The sequence below is a fragment of the Homo sapiens genome, chromosome 13 (assembly GCF_000001405.40).
Source record: "Homo sapiens chromosome 13, GRCh38.p14 Primary Assembly".
Lineage (NCBI taxonomy): Eukaryota > Metazoa > Chordata > Mammalia > Primates > Hominidae > Homo > Homo sapiens.
The window spans coordinates 23,818,023-23,841,855 of record NC_000013.11 but is presented as its reverse complement, the minus strand read 5'-3'; the positions used below and the strand labels follow the sequence as shown (position 1 = coordinate 23,841,855).

At 38.7% G+C, this 23,833-nt stretch overlaps 1 protein-coding gene across 4 annotated transcripts in view; it reads left to right on the top strand.

The window, feature by feature from the left end:
* Positions 1-23,833, top strand: part of MIPEP (mitochondrial intermediate peptidase) — a 159,212-nt gene that overhangs the window by 47,545 nt on the left and 87,834 nt on the right. For all 4 annotated transcript variants that reach the window (NM_005932.4, XM_011535097.3, XM_011535098.4 and 1 more), the window contains exons 11-14: positions 368-521; positions 2,130-2,207; positions 4,100-4,304; positions 5,507-5,616. In NM_005932.4, coding sequence (NP_005923.3) covers positions 368-521; positions 2,130-2,207; positions 4,100-4,304; positions 5,507-5,616 — 547 coding nt within the window. The remainder of the gene's footprint in view (positions 1-367; positions 522-2,129; positions 2,208-4,099; positions 4,305-5,506; positions 5,617-23,833) is intronic.

Here is a 23,833-nt window from a genome sequence, read left to right as displayed (position 1 = left end):
GGTAAGAGTTACCATTATAACTGAAACTGATCATATTTTGCATGTAAGTATGTATAAGGAATGTATACAGTGAGCAGTTGAGACTGCTTAATTGGGTTAGTGAAAGAGTAAATAACAGGGAAGGGACAAAGGTTAGGGAATGATATATCTACCTTAATTACTGACTTATAACTAACACTAGTAATAATCAGACTGTCATTCTGAAGAAAACTGTCTGAAAACCCCTCAAATGATATAAATACACTTTTATGTTTTGAATCCTTCTTTAGCTCCAGTGATCTTAAGTATTAAATGAAAAGTTAATTGAATTTACCTTCAGAAATTGAAATAAACAAAGATGCTGTTGAACCTCTCTTCCTTCTCTTAGGTATAATATTGAGCCCAGCCTATATTGCCCGTTTTTCTCTCTTGGAGCATGCATGGAAGGCCTGAATATTTTGCTTAACAGACTGTTGGGGATTTCATTATATGCAGAGCAGCCTGCAAAAGGAGAGGTGTGGAGCGAAGATGTCCGAAAACTGGTGAGCTCCTCCTGCTCAGCCTGCAGTTGCAGGCATTTACCTTTCGGTTGGGCAGTTGAGTCAACAGCAGTTTCAGGTTTACATCAACTTTGCCCTGACTGAGTGTGTCCCCTGCCTTATTTCTGCTTCACAAAAAAAATCCAAATTGCACTTCTGATTTAAGACACTGTATAAAGGATCCAAACATAAAACAGCAGAGTTTTCTAAAAAAGTTTTTTGGAACTTGATAGAAGGTTGAATATATATGCACCTTCATATATCCACAAATTCTATTTATAGGAAAATTGTCCTTTACTTTGTATATACCTTCATAGCTGTGTGTCCGTTTTGGTTAATTCCCAAATCCATTGGATAAGTGACCTTTTTTCTCTCCAACCCCCATCCCATGTTGTAGGGGCTTATATTTGCATCAGATATTAATTTACGTCCGTGTTCTGATTTATTTAACTTCTTTGATAATAACTTCAAACCTAGCAATCATCTTTCTCCTGTGAAGGCCCACTTTATATGAGGCATGAATATTTTAAATTTTTCCTCATAGGATTTGAGGCTTTGTTGACCTGTGTGTGTCACTAAGGCTTTGTATTGTTTTGTTGTTTGATTTTTGCTAGCATGCTTACCACACTGCTTTCTTCACTATATTTTAAGAAATGTAAACAGTCTCATTGTCTCTCGGCCACGTCTTGTGAGTGGAGAGTAGGTGTGGTGGTGGGATTGAAAGGAGAGTCAGGGTGGGAGGACGTTCATCACTGCATTGATTTACTTCACTATCTGTATTACAAACTTCCAAAAAAGATAGAGATTGATAAAATGCTGAGATATAATAAAAAGAAAAATTTATAAGAGGAGACTGAGAGGACAAAATGCGGGTGATGAAGGGTTTCCCCAGAACTGCAGAATGTGCACTCCACCGGGGTCCAGCACTGTTGTCAGTTGCATTCACTTCTGTATCCTCAGTGTCTTGAAGAGTTCCTGGCACCAAGTAGGTGCTTAACAGATGTTTGATGAACAATAAATATATACTTGCAGGTAGTTTTAAAGCACAAAATCGGGGTTCTCTTTGATGGAATCATTAAATTCTGAAAGAACAAAGAAGGCAAGATGGAGAGTAGTGATTGAGTCTCTCCTATAAGCTATGTCTCTTGGAGAGGGGATAGATAGTAATATTGCTGATTTTTAACTCAAGCTGGGAGCTGCATTGTGGTGTTTTCAAATTCAAGGGTTATAATTTGCTTGGGCGTATATCACGACATTCCAGGATTTGAAGGAAAAATAATTTGCTCCTAAAATTGTCCAGCCAGCACTTCTTCCCAGCTCTTGTGGGTGGTTAGTAAAGGTATTGTAGAGGATAGGCAGTCAGGACAAAAGGCCCTCATGAGGAGGATTTCCTGTCCTGGACACAGAATTCCAAAACCAAAATCATTCAAGAGATGGAGCAGAAGAGGATGCGGGGAAAAGAGAATCTATCTCGAGATAATGTGGGGTGTAGAATGTAATTAAAATGTCTATATGTGTGGCTATGGATGTTTAATATACAGATTCTTGTGTTAGGGATTTTAGAGAATCAGATGGCCTCATTTACCACCAAATTTAAATTTTTTTTTCTAGGCTGTTGTTCATGAATCTGAAGGATTGTTGGGGTACATTTACTGTGATTTTTTTCAGCGAGCAGACAAACCACATCAGGTGATCCTTTCTTTATAAACTGGTCTCTCTAGAACCGATCGGCATTTCATTTGTATTGATGTGAACTTTGTATCATTTTTTAAATTCCATGACATTTAAAAGTTACTAATGATGGTTACCAAATATATACATTTGAAATTAAGATAGAATTTTAAAATTAAAAAGTTTATGGAAATAATTACATCAGTCTATATTTGTCACTTTTATCTGGGTCATGGTATTAATTATAGTAACAATGACAACTGACATTTTATGAATCCTTATTTGTGCCAAACAGTGCACTGAGCCCGTTATACACATCAGCCTTTTAATGTTCGCCTCACCCTTTTGACTAGTTACTCACATTATGAGGAAACTGAAGCCATAGAGGTTAAGCTACTTGGCCAGAAGTGCTAGGACTTGAAGGCATACATCCTGAGCAGATCCCCAACTTTTAACTCTTTTCCATACTCGACAATGAACCTATTCTAAAACTGCGGAAGATACTCCATGTGGAAACCTTACCAACCACCAAGTAGCTCCTTATGTGGAAGACTTGAGGCAGCTCATCTCCTTTTCTTTAGCATTGGCCGACTTTGACAGCCAGTCAGCTTTAGCAGTTTCATGTAGCTTGATGGGAAATGTCAAGAGTTTAGGTTATAAGTTATAACAGAAATAATGTACCTTATGTTTGAATAGTGATTCACAATTTCCAAAGCACAGATTTTAACAGATGTGAGCTTATGAATTCTGGACAGCCACTGTGGGATTTGACAAGGAAGCATTTTAGAGATGAGGCTTGCAGAAGCAAATTATTTTCCGAGATGATTTGTCTAGTAGGTGTGAAAGGTAGGAACAGGGTGCAGGTCACCAGACTCTGAGGCCAGTGTTCTTCCTCTTTGCTTAAATGGGTGGGTGGTGGAGACTCAACTTTAGTGATTAGGAGCCCTGGCTCCTAATAGTCAGCCTGGGTTCAGATCCAAGGTGTGGCAGTTCTAGCTAGGTGTCCTTGGACATGTTATTTAATAATCCTAAGACTAGTTTTAGTTTTATCATCTGAAAAGTGAGATACCTGCTACATAGGGTTGTTGTGGAGAATAAGTGATACAGTGTATGTGAGTCTCAGTGTAGTGCCTGTTTCAGAGTAAGTTATTCTGGCTCCGGATCCCTTGCTTTACACTAGTTTAGATCCCATCTCGTTCAAGTGATAAAAGTCAAGAGAGGCTGGGCGCGGTGGCTCATGCCTGTAATCCCAGAACTTTAGGAGGCTGAGGCTGGCAGATCACTTCAGTCCAGGAGTTCAAGACCAGCCCTGGCAACATAGTAAGACTCCATCTGTACAAAAAAAAATCTAAAAATTTAGCTGGGTGTGGTGGAGCACACCTGTAGTCCCAGCCAATCAGTAGGCCAAAGCAGGAGGATGGCTTGAGCCCAGGAGGTCCAGGCTGCAGTGAACTGCGATCACAACACTGCACTCCAGCCTGGGCAACAGAGCAAGACCCTATCTTAAAAAAAGAAAAAAAAATAGCCAAGAGACATGGAAAGTACCTACTAGTTCATTATCTGACACATAGTAGGGACTCAGAATAAATGTTAGTGTCCCTTCGTAAGTTCTTTGCTGACTTTGTTTCCAGCTTCTGGCACAGCATCATTTCAATGCATGTTTTGGGACCAAAGTAATGAGTTAATCCATAGAAACTGAATGTGTTCTTGATGTTTTAAAAAATTAAAATTTTAGCAGAATAAAAAATGTCAAGAAAAGGTGTATATATGTAAATAGATAGAATAAGAATATAATTAAGTTAAAGTTTGCACTCACACATTTTTGGTGAAATTTTATATTCATTAAGACTGTTTTACTCTTCACATTACCAAATACTTTCTTTTCCTTTTATGTTTTCTGATTCTTAAAGGATTGCCATTTCACTATCCGTGGAGGCAGACTAAAGGAAGATGGAGACTATCAACTCCCAGTTGTAGTTCTTATGCTGAATCTTCCCCGTTCCTCAAGGAGTTCTCCAACTTTGCTAACTCCTAGCATGATGGAAAATCTTTTCCATGAAATGGGACATGCCATGCATTCAATGCTAGGACGTACTCGTTACCAACACGTCACTGGTGAGCCATGAGGAGGGCTTTTATTTACTACAGTCCTTTACAAACATACATTTTCTTTGAATTGGGAAAGGGGCTTTTTATTTGGAAAATGTGATCATTTTACCGTGTCCTGTGGTCTTTATCTCAGATTGCCTCATCCTGCCCTCCCCATGGTTGTGCAGCCTGATCTTCCATGCTTTTTTCCATGCTTGCTAACAGCTTTCACCAGGGAATAATCTCAGTTGTCTTTCAAGTTTGTCCCTTTTTACATTTTACAGTGTTTTATATTGAATTTAAGTTTGTGGCTATGTGTGTGTGAATAAAAACGTATCTCCTTAATACCTCCCACAGAGTTAATAAGTAAGTGAATGAATGGTCTCTCTTTATATTCAAAATCAGAGAAGAAAATAAAGCATGCTTAAAAAGTATGATGAAGTCCTTTTAATTTTTCATATACTTTCCCCTGTATAAAATCATAGTTCTGCTTTGTAGTTTTTATGCTGCTATGTGGCTATATTTTGTGATATTACAGACTTCCTTCTTCATTGTCTTATCCTTAAGTCTTAAGCTCCCTATCACATATGGTCAGCATTAGACCACTAGTGAATTGTTGGCATCCAGCATTTGTTAACTAACTTTACACACAGTATTTTGGACAAGGAGAAGGTATTGAAAAGACTGTAGGTGGGCTGAACACAATCGTTAAATGTCATCTAAATTTCTTACAGGATTTGTTACTTTAAGTAATTTTGAGTTTAAAATATTTCTTTTCCTCACTGAGAATTGACTTTGTTACAAAAAGCAATAAATGGATAAAATAAAGTACTTGTAAAACAAAGGAAGGATAAAAGTATTAGGTAATGGAATTTAGTGAATTAAATACAAACGCTATATTAATATTAGAAATGTTTTAATCTGTTTCATGTATAGCCAGCATAGCTGAAGACAGGTTTGTTTGCAAAAGGTGTGAGCCATGGCTTTATAAGGTGTTTTAGCAGCTGTGCAAATATTTTGTTTTAATTTTGATATAAAGGAAAATATATAGGATTATAATAAACTTTTCTGCAAATATGTACAATAAATTTATAGAAGAAAAATATTGATTTAATGAATTAAAACTTACAGTTCATCAGAAGTACAAATAAAAGTTTTAAAGGGCACACAAAAAGTAGATAAATATATTGATTTGATTCATGCCAACTTTTTTTTTTTTCTTGTTTTAGGGACCAGGTGCCCTACTGATTTTGCTGAGGTTCCTTCTATTCTGATGGAGTACTTTGCAAATGATTATCGAGTAGTTAACCAATTTGCCAGACATTATCAGACTGGACAGGTAGGAACAGTAATATTGTCGTCTTGTCCTTTGGGTTGTGATAGTTGGCGTTTATGACATCCTGGATAAATTGAACTCTTCTTGCTTTTCAGAACTCACCCTCTGTTAGTAACAAACCTTTTATTGCTTCTTTTTTTCCTGATTCCCTATCTTTTCTTTTGCCAGTCTATTAAATCATAGTCCTAGCATATAGTCATGTGTTGAAAAATAGCTACCCTTTATTACATGCCTGGTAATCTACCATTTAGTCCTCATAACCTCCCCATAAGGAAGACACTTTATCCCCATTTTCCAGATGAAGAAACAAGTTCTGTAGTAGAATAGGCATTCGAGCCTGTCTCACTTCTAAAAAGCCTTTGCTTCTGAATATTTATTCTCTTGGTCTGAATTTTTATGTTGTCTCATTAAACTGAATCCAGTGCCATATTTTGCCAGTATGCTTAGCATCTCTGTGATGTTTAGTCTGAAAAGTCCTTAATTTTAAGGCTTAAATTTCAATGATGCATTCTAATATTAAAGATTTTTAAATTAAAATGTGAGGTACCTTACACTAAGCTAGCTGTAAGTTGTCAACATTGTGCTGTTTACTGTCCATGTGTACATTGGAAGATGCGTTCTTTCCCTTCCCTCCAATTCTGATTATACTAGAACCGTATTACGTGAGGTGATGTTTTTCCCCCTCAGACTGTATGTACTCCCGGTACAAATGTAAATTGTATTCATCTGTGAATACTTAGCACCTAGAATCAAAAAAAAGCACTGAAAGAAATTAAATGAGGGGACGAATAGAATTAGAAACAGAAGGACCTTAACCACCTTTATTTGTGACTCTTCTTCTCATTATGTCTCCAGATGTGTAATATTATTTGGTCATTTTTTTTTTTGGACTTGATTTTATCTGTAGAATAATCTGATCTTCTGGCTGGCACAGTGGCTCATGCCTGTAATCCCAGCACTTTGGGAGGCTGAGGCAGGTGGATCACCTGAGCTTGGGAGTTCGAGACCAGCCTGGGCTACATTGTGAAACCCCGTGTCTACTAAAAATACAAAAGTTAGCCAGGCGCAGTGGCACATGCCTGTAGTCACAGCTACTCAGGAGGCTGAGGCAGGAGAATCACTTGAACCTGGGAGGCAGAGGTTGCAGTGAGCCGACATTGCGCCACTGCACTCCAGTCTGGGCAACAGAGTGAGACTGTTAAAAAAAAAAAAAAAAAAGAATAATGGATGATATTCTGGATAAGTAATCTGAGTGACTCTTCAACATAATATATTTCAGTTATTACGGTGGCAGATTTGTGATCCAATTAACTACCCATCCATTAATCTACAAAGAATTGTTCTGGGAATTATGTAGACTTGGCCAATAACATAGAGAGGCATACCCTACCACGTGATAGCATAATCCATCTATGGCTGTGTATTTTGGGAACTGGGAATGATTAGTAGTTCAGTGATTGCTCCCTGCCTGAGGTGCTTAGAGCCCTGTGCACAGGCAGGGCCACGAGGGCCCTGGGGGAACTGGGGAGGCTGGGGAGGAGAAGTGCAGGAGGAAGGAGGTCTGGGAAAAAGAGAAGCGGCATTCGCCAGTCAGCTCTCAGCGGTATTCATCTGTTCCACCAAAATACATTTATTGAGGACATAGGACAGAGAGGCCCTTCAGTCAGAAAACACTTGCTGAGTTTTAATATTTACCAGTCTGCATTCTCAGCATCCAAGAAACAGCCAAGAATAAGTCAGGCAACATCCCATTGCCCGCGGTCTTTAATTCCTAGGGGAACTGAGACAGAGCCTGACTAGGGTGTTACCGCCCGAAGGCAAAGCCCAGGAGAGGGGAGGAGCAACCTCTAGACTGCTGGGGAGGCCTGGCCAGGAGCTGGGAGCTAAAGGCTGAGGAGAAGTTACACAGGGAAAAACACGGGCATATGGGTTGGGTCTTCTGCTGCTGGAGCAGCAGCCAGTAAAGGCTTTCAGGCGGGAATCAAATTTTTACTTCAAGAAAATCACGCTGGTGTCAGGGAGGAAGCGGATCGCAGGGGGTGCGGATAGAGCCTGAGAGGCTTCCTGGAGAGGCAGGCTCCGGCTCCGGGGGCTCGGCCCCTCTCCCCTCATCCCGGGCGCGTGGCCTCTCTCCACCCACCCTTGCTGGGTGGCCTCAGCTCTGGCGACCCAGCAACCCGCAGACAAGTACACGGCTGGTGAAGGGGTCAGGGTGGGAGGCAGGGGACAGCAAAGGGGCATCCTGCTTCCGAGGGTTCCGCAGGGTCAGGCCAAGGGAGGCGCCACTTAGTGTGGGAGACGTGGGGAGCATCACTGCCGCCAGGAGGGGTTTCTGCGAGTTTGAGGAGTCTGAGGTTTCGGAGGTGGCCGCTGCCAAAGTGAGAGCGCGTGGTGCAGGGCTGCGGAAAGAGGGTCTGGCGAGGGGCGCGAACACAGGGCGTGGGAGGACACACACGCGGGGGTGACTACACAAGAGGACCAGGAGCCTTGCACAGTAGTCATTTTTTTAAAAGTAAAATCTGGAGTGGAAATTTACCACATATACAAATGTCAATTTTTTTTAAATTGCCATCTACTTATAGAACAACCAGGAGCAAAGAAAGGCTGGAGTCACTGCTCCAAGTGTGATGTAAGGTGCAAAAGGAGAGAGCTTCTCAATGCCTGTATTCTTACTAAATTATTCTGTAAGAAGATGTATTGTTGAACTAGATGCAAGAAAACAAGAGTAAACCCAAAATCTAATCCAAGATAGATGAGATAGGAAGAAAGCACTAAGCTGCTTTGAATTAATTCAAGTTTCAGACACAGAAGATGGATCCAGTGCCCTTAAGGGACTTACAGACGTAGTCTCTAAAGAATCTAAAATTTTGTGATTCTCATGGAGAATGGAAAGCGTGCCCAAAGGCAAGAGACATGTAAATGCTTTGAGCTTCACAAGGGCTTGCCTCTTCTTGTCACTAATGAAGGCACCAAGGAGGTTTATTTTATTTTATTTATTTTTTTTAAATCTTAAGTGCAGTCCTAGCCTTAAGGATAAGAAGTTAATTCTCTAAAATCCAAGTCTTTGTAAATAAATGGCATTTAATCTCACAAGGAAAAAATAACAGGGTTGCATGTTTATGCCTAATTTTCTATCCTGCTGCCTTTCAGGAAAGGATTTTTTTAACATTATGAAATATATTCCAGAGAGGTCTCAGGTAGAGGATAATCAGTGACTTATTAACACCTACAGGTATTTTATCAGAACTATATCATAGCATAGTCAAAGAATTCCTTGTGGTGGAAGAATTAGAAGTATGCTTATCAGATTTGCAGGTGTCATGCAGCTGTCAGAGATAGCAGATACCAGAGGTGCTCATTCAAGATTCAGAACGTCTTGACAAGCTACAACATCAAAGCCAAAGTAGAATTTATTGTAAATTAATCTTGAAATCAATACCACAGGTATAGAAGGAGTACAAACTTGGCTGCAGTTCAGGTGTTTAGACATAATAAACTTAACATGGATTAACAGTCTGATGGGTTTTCCCATAAATCTCCTTCAATTTTAGGCTACCTTAGTGGAGCTGTGGTGCCTAAGGACCCAGAGGTCATTGTTTCTCTTCTCAGTGCTTGTAGATTTTTACCTTCCGCGTAACTTCTTCGCCGTTGCTCCAAATTAGCACAGAATTATATATAGGTGGCCTCATTCTCCTGGAAGCATGATTCTTGTCCTTCCTAAACCTTTCTAAGATGCAACTTTCTTTTTTTTAATGTTTTGATCATTCTCTGAAAGTGGGATCCCCTTGTTATTTACCTATTTATATTTAATAGCTATATTAGTCTGTTCTCTGTTCCTTAGAATACCTGAAAATGGATAATTTCTAAAGAAAAGGAATCTATTTTTTACAGTTATGGAGGCTGAGAAGTCCAAGGTCAAGGGGCCGTATCTGATGAGCGCCTTCCTACTGGTGGGGACTCTGCAGAGTCCCAAGGTGGCTCAGGGCCTCACATGGCGAGGGACTGAGTGTGCTCACATGCTAGCTCAGGTCTCTCTTCCTCTTCTTATAAAGCCAGCAGTCCCACTCCCATGATAATCTCTTAATCCATTATAATCAATGGATGAATTAATCCATTTATGAGGGCAGAGCCCTCATGACCCAGTGATCTCTCAATACTGCCTGGAGAAGGGGTATTTAAGCCCCATTGGGGCTTAAATTTCAACATGGGTTTTGGAGGGGACAGATACTCAAGCTATAGCAGTGGCATAGTGTGCTCTCTCCCCAAATCTGTCATAAAATCACAGTGGCTCTTTACAAATATTGGGTTCTTAGATTCAAGGAAAGAAGACAGTCTAAACCCCTATACCCAGCATTGAAAATGCTAAGCACCTTCACCGTGCAGTCTAATAGCCTGCCCCTTGACCTCTGCTGTGGTTAGAATATGGTTTGCTCCACCAAAACTTATGTTAAAACTTGGTCCCCAACATGGTGGTATTGGTAGGTGGTGCATTTGAGATGTGATTAGGTCCTTTAGATGGAGTAATAGCTCTCTCTGGAGGCTGGGTTCTCTCTGGAATGGATTAGTTCTCATGGGAACAGATCAGTTCCCACGAGAGCAGGTTGTTATGAAGCGAGGTTGCCTCTTGTATTTTGCTCTTTACATATGCATCAGGTTCCCCTTCCATTTCTCTGCCATGCTTTGATGCAGCACAAGGCTCTCACCAGGAGCTGCCGGATGTGTTGCCCAGTCTTGAAGTTCCTAGCCTACAGAATTGTAAGCTACATAAGCTTCTGTTCTTTATAATTTACCCAGTCTCAGATATTCTGTTATAGCAACACAAAATGCAGTAAGGCAATTCCCATCCACATCCCCCCCCCGCCATGGGGAAGCTAGGCTGTCCCCGACGCCCAGATCATTTGGGTACTCAGAGTTTTCCTCTTCTTTCTCTCACTGTCCCCAGATCCTGATTCCTAATGGAGGCAGGATCTATTTGTCTGTGCCCTAGATTTGCAATTTCTTCACATCAGGTTTTAGGTAAATTTCTGAAAATGAGCAAAAGTCTGATACTTTTACCTTTCCTTTGCATTTCTAAGGTTCTGTTCCCATCCCACTTTCTCAGACTGAATTTTCCCCAGATGTGTGAATATATGTGTCCTAATTGACTTAGCCCAGCCCCTGAGTAGTCCAGATGCTTGGTTGCCCCACCCTTTCCCCTGCTTCACAGTAGCTGCCTCTGTTCCCTTTTGTCCTCAATTCCTCAGTTTCCAACTAACTCCTCCACCCCTACAGAAACTGCCACTATCCTTATCTTTACCCACAATATCCCTTTGTCCTCAGCATATTGCCTGGAGCTGGGCTGCCAGTCCCAGTGTGTTTGATCAATTTTGGAGGGCCTGTTTTACAGTGATGCTGATGAACTAGAAACCATCCTGAGGGGTGGCTGCTGCTTATTTGTAAAATTGGAAGCCACTTCACATTAGGAGGGGTTTAAGAAAAGACATTTTTAGACTAGAAAAATGAAACTCAAGTCTTTCATATACCATTTGAAGGATACCATGTAAAGGAAGAAAGTCATTCTAGGAAAAAACAATATTACTAGGAATAGTGGAAGGGAATTCTAAGGAGGCTCATTTCAGTTCAGGAGATTCTTCTTGTAAATGATTAGAGCAGAAAGAGATGCCTCTCCAAGTAATGAATTTCTCTTTTATTTAATATTTAATGTTATAACACAGTATTTGTAGAAAGAACAGCTATGAAGCCATTCTCCAACCTGAGAAGTAAAACATTACCACATGCTCTTCTCTGAACCCATCTCTGCCCCGCTTGCCTCCCAGAGGAAAGCATAGTGCTCAATTCTTATCATTTTTTGGCCACATTATTTATTCCTAAGAAGTGTGGTGTTCAGTTTTTTGAACTTTACAAAAATGGTATTTTACTGCTTATAATCTTCTGTTATTTAAAAAATATATATTTTATGCCTAAGATTAATCTGTGTTGCATGTAGCTGCAGTGTATTTATTTCAATTGCAGATAATATTCCATCATTTATTTACTCATTCTCCTGTCATGGAGCACACGTGGAGCACACAGGTTCTTCCAGGTTTTTGCTAGTTCATGTGATACTGCTGTGAACATTTTTATACTTTCTTCTGTATATCCATGTATAAGATTGGAACTGCTGGATTTGTAAGGGGTGCATGTCTTTAAGTTTATGAGATAATGCCAAATTGTTTTTCAAAATGTTTCTGCTAATTTATACTCCTCTCAGCAATGGTTTCTATCGTGCAGCATCCTCATTGACTTTTAATTTTGTCAAAAGTTTTAATTTTGCCCATTTTGTGATTATAAAATGAAATGCTATTGTGGTCTTAATTAGCAGCAGTGTTCTCTGATTACTTTTAAGGTCTTAATTAGCAGCAGTGTTCTCTGATTACTTTTAAGGTTTTTTATTTATTTATTTTCTGTTTTGTTTTGTCTTGTTTAGAAATAAGGTCTTGCTAGGTTGCCCAGGCTGGCCCCTCAAACTCCTGGGTTCAAGCAGTCCTCCTGCCTCAGCCACCCAAGTAGCTGGGACTACAGTCATGTGCCACTACACCTGGCTTATTTTTCGTTTTTGTTTTCTGTCAGATGTCTTTTTGTCTCATGCTCATTTTCCTACTTGGAAATTTGTCTTTTTCTTACTGATTTTCAGAAATTCTTGGTAGTTGAAATAATAATCCTTTTTAGGCATATGTCTTGTCTCAGTTTATGGCTTGTGTTTTCACTTTCCTTTTAATATTGTTGGATTTATCAATCTTGTCTTTATAGTTAATAGTTTTTATATTTTTTTTCTTTTTTTGAGACAGAGTCTTGCTCTTTCGCCCAGGCTTACAGGCATGCCACCATGCCCAGCCAATTTTTATATTTTTTATAGAGACAGGATTTCACTGTGTTTCCCAGGCTGGTCTCAAACTCCTGGCCTCAAGCAATCTTCCCACCTCAGCCTCCCAAAGTTTTGGGATTACAGGCGTGAGCCACCATACCCAGCCTCTTCAGTTTTCTTCTAAACATTTTAATGCTTTCTTTTCTCTTTCAATTTTTAATCAAGTTGGAAATTCTTTCTGGGTTTGGCATAAGGCGGGAATCCATTTTACTTTCTTCCGTGTGAGTAACAAACTGTCCCAGCACCATTTAGTGAGTAATTTACCCTTTCTTCAGTGCCATTACTCATGTACATGCAATTGTCAGTTTGTGGGATTCTCTTTCATTCCATTGTTTAAGCTGTCTGTCCTAATATCAAAGCCATGCTGTCTGTATTACTAGAGCTTTGGAATAAGTTATAGTAATAAGCTTACTATTATTAATAAGTAATAATAAGCCTTGATATCTGGAAGGATAGGCCTTCCTCGATTTGTTCTTCAAAATTTCTTGTCTACTCTTGGACCTTTGTATTCTTTCATATACATTTTAGAATCAGGTTATCTAATTTTTGAAAAATTCTGGTAAGAGTTTGATTGGGATTACATTAAATTTCTAGGCCAATTTGGAGAGAACTGATATCTCTGAATATTGAATCTTTGAATCCATGAATATGGCATATCTCTCCATTTCTTGGGTCTTTTCAAAAGTCTTTGAATACAGTTTTAAAATTTTCTTCCAGGGCCTTGGTCAGCTTTTGTTGGGCTTCGTCCTGGATGCCCTTCCTTTTTGATACTATAAGCAGTATATATATTCAGATTGTTTGTTACTGGTGTTTAAAAATGCTGTTTGTCCATTTTTGTATAGTGCTCTTGTTTACAGCAGCTTTGCTAAACTTTCTTATTAATTCACAGAATTTGTCTATAGACTTTTACAAGCTTTTTTAACCAGATAATTACTTCTGCTAAAAATAATGACAGCTTTATTTTTCCTTTCCAACCACGTATCTTTTCTGTTTACCTTGTTCTACTCCACTTATGAGAGCCTCCTTAATGTTGAGTAAAAGCCGTGGTATGGGCATTCCTGCCTTGATCCTGGTGTTTAAAGGAAATGTTTTTAATACGTCACCGTAAAGAAAGATGTTTGTTATAGGTTTGTTGGAGATATCAGGAAAAGGAAATTCCTTTCTATCTCCAGTTTGCTACTATTTTTTTAAATCATTAATGGGTATTGCATTTTATCATAGTTTTTTCCTGCATCTTTTGAGCTGTCAGATTGTTCTTCACCTTTAATCTGTTAATGTAGTGAATGTTAATGTTAAACATTAGCCACCTTTGCATTTCAGGATTAAGCCACCTTGGTCCTAAATAATAGTTATTTTTTAATGCAGAGCTGGCTTTAGTTTGCTAATTATTTTATTTATTTATTTTTTTGAGACAGAGTCTCCCTCCATCGCCCAGGCTGGAGTGCAGTGGTGCAGTCTCTGCTCACTGCAACTTCCACCTCCTGGGTTCAAGTGATTCTCCCGCCTCAGCCTCCTGAGTAGCTGGGATTACAGCGTGTGCCACCACACATGGCTAATTTTTGTAATTTTAGTAGAGGTGGGGTTTTACCATGTTGGCCAGGCTGGCCTTGAGCTCCTGACCCCAGTTGATCCACCCACCTCATAGTTTGCTAGTTTACTAATATTTTTATATTCTTGATTTTTGCATTTATGTTTATGAGAGAGGGATTGCTTATGATTTTTCTTTGTCATTATTTGCTGGTGTTCACTTAAATATATACTATTTCATAAAATGAGTTGGTGAGTGTTTCTTTTTCTTTTCTTTACAAGCATTTATTTATAACATTGTTATCATTTGTTCTTTAAAACTGTCGGAATTCATCTATGAAACCATTCAGGGTCTGTTGTTTCCTCTGTGGGAAGATTTTTTAAATGACTGAATCCTTACTAGTCATAAGCCTCTTTGGGCTTTCTTTTCTTCTCAGATAAACTTTGCTACTTTGAAATTTTCTAGACATTTATCAATTTGAGCCAAGTTCTTCAGCTTATTCACATAAAGTTACTTATAGCATTCTTTTATCCTTCAAATTCTGCTATAATTGTATCCTTTTTAATTTCTAATTCTGTTTTCTCATTTTTTTCTCTCTGTTAATCTTGGCAGAATTTTGTCCACTTTATCACTGTAATCTCTCAGTGTCTAAGCAGGATTGGTTCCTGGGCCACTACTCCCCGCCAACGTGGCTACCAAAATCCTTGGATGCTCAAGTCCCTTTTATGAAAGGGTGTAGTATTTGCATTTAACCTGTGTACATCCTGCTGTATACTTTAAATCATCTCTAGATTACTTATAATACCTAACACAATGTAAACGCTATATAGATGCTGTATTGTTTAGGGAATAATGACAAGAAAAAAGTCTGTACATGTTCGATACAGATGCAGTTTTTTTCCAAATATTTTTGACTCATGGTTGATTGAATCCATGAATGTGCAACCCTCAGATATGGAGGGCTGACTGTATTTTCAAAGAACCAATGCAAACTTTGTTTATCCTATTTTGTTTGTTTCAGTTTGTTACTTCCTACTTTTATTATTACTCTCTCCTTCCTCCATCCTTGTTTTTTTCTTCTGATTTCATAGGCATTTATCTAATTCGGTTTCTGTTTTATTTAACATAAGCATTTAAATTTTAATGCTTTAAATATTAAATGATGTGATGAAATGTTTTAGCTGAATTCTGTGATTTTAATACAAAATATTTTTAAAGTTGGTAATTTCCATTGTAATTTCCTCCTTAAGCAAAGACTTGTTTAGAGCTATAGTTTAAAAGTTTTAAACCTTTGCAGGGGAGTTATTTATCTTTTTGTTTCTGATATCTAATTAATTGGTCTATCTGGTATTGATTCTTTGCAGTTTGTTAATATTTATTTTATGGCTTCATGTGTCATCAGTTTTTTAGAAATGTTCCATCTGTGCTTGAGTAGATTGTATATTTATAATTGTTGGGTCTGCGGTTTCATACTAGTCTGGTAAGTCAACCTTTTAATTGTATTGTTTAGATCTTTGATATAACTAATTTTTTGATATAGCAAAAATTTAGAGGTATAAGTCTTCTACCATGAGAATGATAGATATATAATTTCCCCTTAGTTCTATCCATTTTTGCTCTCTATATTTTGAGAATATTTTATTAGATGCATAAAAGCATAGTTTCCCCGATGAACAATTCCTTTCTTCCTTATATGTTATCCTCTTAATCTTTATATGTTTCTTGTTTTAAAATCTTTTTTTTTTCCTGGTAATTTTGCAACCCCAGCTACATTACTAATCACCAAATATAGCCAATTGATTTTTGAGAGAACCTGATATTTTTTGTATAGTTGTGTCTATTAGCCACTACACTAAAATGTTTACTGCTCTAGTTGTCTTTCTCACTGAATATTTTTAAAGCGATGTTAAGAGAAGTTAATACTCACTCTCATAATTTTTTCTTATTTAGTCCTTTCTGGCAGTCTGTGAAGTTGATGGTTGGTACCTAGTTGTCCACACTGTATGGACTAACTGTAGTTACTGTGATTCCTTACCCTGGCTACCTTAGACTCAGCCAGGGTAGGTAATTTTCCAAAGATCACACAATAATAATGAGGGGGGCAATAGATCTATTAGTTTCACCTTAGAATTTCCTTAAAGTTCAGTTAGAGTTGATCAAGTCAGTATTATAACATTGTGAGTATTTTCTTTTTCCAGGTATTTTCTCGTTAAAAATTCCTCAATATGTATCGCCTAAACTTCTGACAATGTGTCTCATAAAATGGAAGCCCCATATCTACTTTAAGTGTTATTTTTAGAACAGTAACATTCTAGTGCTTTCATTGTAGAATTTTTCTGTCCTGCATCATTGTAAGATTTAGTTTCTCGCCTTAGTTTGTGAAAGTCAGCCCAAGGCTAAAATTGCTTAAGTTCTATCTTCAAGGAGACATACATACTTGTAATAAATCTTCTCCTGTCATCCTCTTTCAAGAGATGTGAAAAAGCATCGAAGGTAAACATGACAGTGCAACTAGCATTAGATTAACTTTGGCAGATTTAGGTTGTTTTGGAACTTTTCTTACTTTCAGTGTTAATGCTTCTCAATTATGTCTAGACAAAAGCATTGAACAGGGAAGTAGAGATGGATCTGAGCCCGGCCCCACCACCATACACAGCTGGCTTTAGACCAGTCATTGAACTTGTCTGAGACTTTTCTGCTCCTTTATATAAAATAAATGGAATAAATATGTCAAAATTAAAATTTAGCAAGCCTCCATACCTGCCTCAAAATTTTTGGACAAATTTAATAATGGACGCAAACTGTAAAGCACAGTATTATTGGAATATTTTTAGAAAAAATGGAAGTTGGATCCCTATCACACATTAAAATGTTTAGTGTTGAACCCTGCAAAACTCAAAGCCATCTGACCTATGTTTCTTTAAACCATCGGTGGGTCTGTGATAAAGTGTAAGCATTTTTAAAGGGTTTTTAAATCTTAGATCATCTTATTTAGTTTGTTAGAAAACACTACTTAAAAGTAAGTGAAAAGTAGTATTTCCTGTGGATTTAGGCTTGAGGTTTTGTCTCCTTGGGCCTAGCCAACATTTTTATTTTATTGATTATGTGCCATCTGGATTACTGGTTATATCAAAACAAGCTAGTTGAGACATGCAATCCAGTTGTTTTTCCATTATAGACACGTGAGGAAATGCAGTGCTGTGACACACAGCTTGGGGTGGGATGGGATCAGCTGGGAAATCAGAGCTGCTGCTTGGCAGCCTGGTGCCTGGCTTTATGCCGCTGAAGTATTTTCTTGTTTTGGATGACTATGTTTCAACAAGTTTTCTGTCATTAGACCTATCACGTGCCCAGGGACATCAGCAGTAGGAGTTCTCTGCTTCAGGATGAGTTGAATTACCACCATAACAAGGACTTGTACCAGAGATTGTCTTACCTGTTAATATATATGCAGCTTCTCACCACAGTACATTTTCTCAATGGTCATAAGTAAAAAAGGTATTTTATCACAGTGACTTAGCTCTGTAATAATTTGATACCAAACTTTTAATGTAATGTTATTTAAATTAGACTAGTGAGATTGTGAAATGTTAGAGAATACTTAGCAAGTTTATGAGATTACATGCTTACAACTTAAGCTCATGACAAAATATTCAGAGAATTCAGGTGATAACTATGTTTACCAAACATTTGTATTTTTTGGTGTTATTTTTAGAATCATTCCAAAATGCTGTGCTAGCTTCATAGAATGGGAAAGCTATTTGTTTTAATGTTTTTGTTCCTATGCGTGGTCAACAAACATTGCCACTTTTGTTTACCCCAAGGATACAGTTGACACCTTCCTCTCTTTGGTAAGGCAGTATAGCATAGGCTGTGGACAACTGATGCAGTGTTTGGCTCATATGAAGCACTCAGTAAGTTAGTTATTAATAGGGTGACAATATGATCTATTGTCCAAGCCAAACCCCTTTTTTGGTGAGAGAGGGACAGGGTCTCACACTGTCACCCAGGCTAGAGTGCAGTGGTGCAATCACAGCTCCCTGAAACCTCAAATTCTTGGGCTGAAGCAGTCCTCCTGCCCCAGCCTCCCAAGTAGCTAGGACTACAGGGCCTGTTATCATGCCCAGCTAATTTTAAATTTTTTTGTAGAGATGGTGTCTCGTTCTGTTGCCCAGCCTGTTCTCGAACATTCAGCCTCAAGCAGTCCTCCAGCTTTGGCCCTCCAAAATGCAGGGATTATAGGCGTGAGCCACCGTGCCCAGCTCCAAATGCTGTTAAGAAAGAAAGGAGTGCTATTATTGATCACACCAAGATGGCAGTCATAACGTAGGACTGTCATGCCCACCTCCATGTGTGGTCACCCAAGCTGTGACAGCATTGAGAAAGTCAGATGTTTCAGATGCAGGGACCTGAATTTCTTCTATTCAGTTAATACATTTTAGAAGTTCATTAACTAATTGTCACCTTATTGAACCTTCATACTAATTTTGTGGCAGAGGTATTTTTATCCTCATTTTACAAATGAGAAAATAGGATACTCTGAGATTTTGTTAGGCTAAGAGGCAAAAGAGTAGCAACAGCAGGATGCCTAACTCACACCCAAGCCTTCGTCTTTCACACAGTGCTCCTCCTTACGGACCATTTTTCTGCTTGTAAAATTAGAACAATTTAAGTTTGCTCATCTTTGTTTTTCAAGTCATTGTAATGACTGTTTCTTTTTCTAAGTCAGGTATCTAAAACTTCAACACACAATCACCTGGGGATCTGGATAAAATGCAGATTCTGATTTAATGGATGTGAAGTGGGTTCAGGATTCTGTATTTCCAGGAAGCGCCCAGCGGAGGTTGCAGTGAGCCGAGATCATGCCACTGCACTCCAGCCTGGGTAACAGAGCAAGACTCTGTCTCAAAAAAAAAAAGAAGCGCCCAGATGCTGCTGGTCTCTACTTGCTTTGGACTTCACATAGTTGGGTAATTACTGTTCTTACAATCCATATTTAGGAAAAAAAAAAAAAGTTGCAATTCTGAGCAAGACACAGATTTTTACCTTCTTAATATAAGAAGGAGGTCAGTTTTATAGTCTTTCATTTTCCCTTTCTGGCTGTAAATGTGTTCTGGCATTAACAAACAATAGAATAAATGAGCACTGGGAGTCCTCTCTTGCACAGCTGTGTGTTTGGGTACACAAAGAGGGTGGGGCCCCCACTCCCTAGTGTCCTTTAAGGGGACCTTTCACACAGCAATGGCTGATTGTGTCTCACAGTCTAGTTGGGGCTCTAGAAATCTAAGTTTAAGTCATTGAATGCATCATCGGGATAGGATGAATCAATTAGCTAAATGCTTGAAATAGGAGCATTTGGTTACCCAACCGTAGTACAGCCTTGCGGGGTGGGGCAATGTGAGGCAACCACTCCAGGGCTTTTAAGTCAGTTCTTTTTAGTTTATAGGCAACTTTAGCATATTAGACAGGCTGCATTGTCTTGTTATAGTCATATAGTCAAATCTTGAGTTTTTAAAAATAAACACAGAAATTACTGTTTTAAATACAGTGGTAATTGTGGAAAAATTCAGGTTGGATTATTACAGTAAGCACATTAGGTCACTGTAGTTAATTACTGGCATATTATATTCCAATAGTAGAAACAACATTTCTACCATTTTCCTATTTTAAAAAACCACCCACGATGTTTGATCTCTGCTTTTGAAATACCACTGTTACGGTAGTACAAATGGCACCATTTATTGTTAGGGTAATTGCTTTTCCAACACTGTGAATGATTACTCTCTTCTAAATTCCTTTATTGCTTTATCTGCACCTCTTTTGTGGCTCTTGGTGCATTTTCCCATGCTTTATGAATCCTGAAATACATTTGGCCCTTCTGTGTCCACACAGTCAACTAACCATGGGTCAAAAATACTTGGAAAAAATAGTAATAATAACAACACAATTATTAAAATGCAAGTAAAAAAGCAGTACAGTGTAACAACTATTTACATAGCTACTTTGTATTAGGTATTACAAGTAGTCTAGACATGATTTAAAGTATATAAGAGGATATGCATCTAGGTTATCTGCAAATACTATACTATTTTATACCAGGGACTTGAACATGTATGGATTTTGTTCTTGGAGGAAGGTCCTGGAACCAACCCCCCTCAGATACTGCAGGTTGTACATTCCTTTTCTGGTTCCAGGTAGCAGGATCAGGTGAGATTCATTGTGTATTACCCAGCTGCTTAGTAGGATGCCTTGCACAGGGTGGGATGCTCGGTGAAGATGAGCCCAGAGAGTCTTGTGACAGGTCTCACCTGCTTTTCTTGCTCTGTCTTCTCTTACAGCCCATTTCGTAAGCACAGGAGGCAGCCAGCTTCAAACCAGGGCTCATTTGGACTTGGTGGGATTCTATAGTGACAAAAAAAAATCTGCAGATATTTTTATGAAAGAAACTAGGAAGGGGCATAAATTATCTGAAGTATAAAGTTCACTCAGTAAAAATTGCTTTGAAATAAATTCACATTAACATAAATTCTCAATCCATGTTTAAAATAGTCTGCCCTTGTTAAGGGATACAGATTTTATAGAAAACTGTTTCTGAACAACTCTATAGTAAGATAGTTTGTAAAGGTTGCAGATTGCAAAGCTTTACTGAGGGTATAACTAGATTTACTATTGTATTTCAATAAAATGCCTCCATAAAAATAATAGTTGATAGGTGATATCTGAAAAAATAACAGAGTGGGAATCTCCCTCTTCACTGTGGAAAAAGAAAATGTTGCAGGAGGGAAATGTGGAGCTTGCAGTTGGTATTATTTGGCGTTTTTCAGTATGGAGGCAGTGTTGGATGCTGGCTATTTTTCTTCTGTTTTGGAGCAGAGAAATCAGAATGAGTTTTGTGGATCTGCTAATGCATTGAGGAGACCAGAACATACAGCACCTTCTGTGCTCTATCCATTTGTTCCCTGGCCATAAGGAAAGGCAAATTAGTGTGCTTTCATGAGCTCCATCAACTTTCATTCCTTAGAAATGCACACTCTGATGGGGCATTGGAACTGGCTCAGGCACCAGAGCGGCAGGACACCCTGCAGGCAAGTTCCCAGAATGTCTGGGGGCTGTGCTGGCCTGGGAGAGGCAGAGCCAGGTGCGATGGAGAAGAGCTGAAGAGAAGCTTTCTAATAAAGTGGGTGTAAATATAAGACTGGAAAGAAGCTGTAAGATAGCCAGAATAACAGCTGTATTTATTCCTTTATTTCTTTACGATGTTTTATTTATAAGAATTCTTTCTTTTATTAGTGAAAGTTACATTTAATTGCTTTACCAAGTCATTTTCCAACTAGTGTTGTACATATTAAATCACCTGATTATAAAAGATGTATGGGGTGGAGGGAGCAGGTGTTCTGTGCTCAAATAATTTTGGAAAATGGGTGTAGCATTAAATGGGTTTCTATAAAGGTAGGACTACGTATAATTTAATATGCTAATAACTGGAATCCCCAAGAAAGGTGTTTACTTGAGTGAATTTCCTAGACAATCTGACCTGCTTTTATTGTTGGCTCTTCTACCACAGGCAGGGCCTCTGTTCAGTCAACACAAGCACGAGAGTTGGACAACATCAAGGGAAGGCCAAGTAACTTCACTCAACTGGATTCTATAGATACAAAATTAAGAGTGCTCGAAGAGTTTCTCACACTTAACCCATTTTTTAAATGACACATCTGTAAACCTCATTGGGGAGACATGTACAATATACTGTGTGTAGAACACTTGGAATGAAAAGAGGTTTTTTTCCTTTTTTTTTTTTATTGAGATGGAGTCTCCCTCTTGTCACCCAGGCTGGAGTGCAAGGATGCAATCTCAGCTCACTGCAACCTCTGCCTCCTAGGTTCAAGCAATTCTCCTCCCTCAGCCTCCCAAGTAGCTGGGATTACAGGTACATGCCACCACACCTGGCTAATTTTTGTATTTCTAGTAGAGATGGGGTTTCACCATGTTGGCCAGGCTGGTCTTGAACTCCTGACTTCAGGTGATCCACTGGCCTTGGCCTCCCAAAGTGCTGGGATCACAGGCATGAGCCACCGTGTCCGGCTTTTTTTCTATTTTTTTTTTTAATAAAAAGTGGAGAATTTACGCTGTATTTCAGACCAAATGTATATAACACATAGAGATTTATAGTTCTCTATCTAAAACTTCGGGATTAGATGTTTTGGAATTCAGAATTTTCTGGATTTTTAGAAAATTAATATGGTTTATGAGAAGAAAAAATTGCAACAAATTTGGTTATAGATCCGTTTGACTTTTATATGTGATTCATGAATTAGGCAGCCTCTATTCTACAAAGTAGAATGAAAGCTACCCCTGGGCAATAGCAGAAGAGTGGGCTTTATAAGGTGGGAACAAGGAAACAGAACACCAGAAAAAAAAGCCGATTGATTAGCATCAGGTTCCTCTTTTGTAAGCGTTAAAGCAAAGGGAGCTTCCATATGACACTGACTCAGGTAGACTGCGATCTCCTATTTTCAGGAAACACCGGACTGTATGGGATCTACCTGCTTCTCTAAAACTTTGGTTTGATTGTGTGGCATTTAGCATGAGTGACTCCATTTGGTTTGGTTTTGTCTACTGGGGCCCAGTGTAGGAGCTCAGTATAAAACAATGGCCTCCCATAATTTTTGTTTAACCTTATACTGTGGATGTTGAATTAAAAGAAATGAATAAACCTAGCTAGTTCTGGTAGAGTACCCAGTAGTGAAACACATTCATATTTCTGCATATTCACGAAGTGTAAGGGTAAATATTTTTAAAAGATAAATACTTTACAAACTTCACATTTGTCCAGGTCAGGTCTTGCCATCTAATGTTTTTTTTGGTCAAATTTATGAAAACTTTCCAGTCTTCAGACCTTAACGGATTATGGAATTTCAGGTAAGGGATCTAGACCACTACTCACAGAAATTAGAATGAGGCACATCATTGAATTTCCCTCTCCGCTGTTACATTTAGCCTAAAGCTGCCTTACATATTTTAAATTAGGCTTAAAGATTTCTCCATACATAATGAACTCTAACCTTACTAGAGGTATAAACAGCCTGTAACCTACCCTTGTACCAATCACAGAGTTTCAGCCAATCACAGGCTGTTCAAACCTTGTTCAAATAAGGCAAATGTGAACTGTAACCAACCCAGCTATTTCTGTACCTCACATCTGTTTTCTGTAGGTCATTTTCCTTTTTCTGTCCATAAATATTATCAGACTATATGGCAGTTCCTGAGTCTCTCTGAACCTATTCTGGTTCCAGGGACTGCCCAATTTTTAAGGTGTCCTTTGCTCTGTTTAACTCTGTTAAGTTTATTTATTTATTTATTCATTTATTTATTTTTATTAATTTTTGAGACAGAGTCTCGCTCTGTCACCCAGGCTGGAGTGCAGTGGTGCGATCTTGTCACACTGCATCCTCTACCTCCCGCATTCGCGTTCCAGCGATTCTCATGCCTCAGCCTCCTGAGTAGCTGGGATTACAGGCACCCGCCACCAGGCCCAGCTAATTTTTTTTTTTTTTTAAGTAGATACAGGGTTTCACCATGTTGGCCAGACTGGCCTCGAACCCTTGACCTCAAGTGATCAGCTTGCCTCAGCCTTCCAAAGTGCTGGGATTACAGGAGTGAACCAACGTGCCTAGCCAAACTCTGTTAAATTTAATTTGTCCAAAGTTTTTCTTTTAACGCTGCTTAGCTCACTGCAAAACCCAGAACTAAGTGTATGGCCCAACTGTGACAATGACACGGAGTTACAG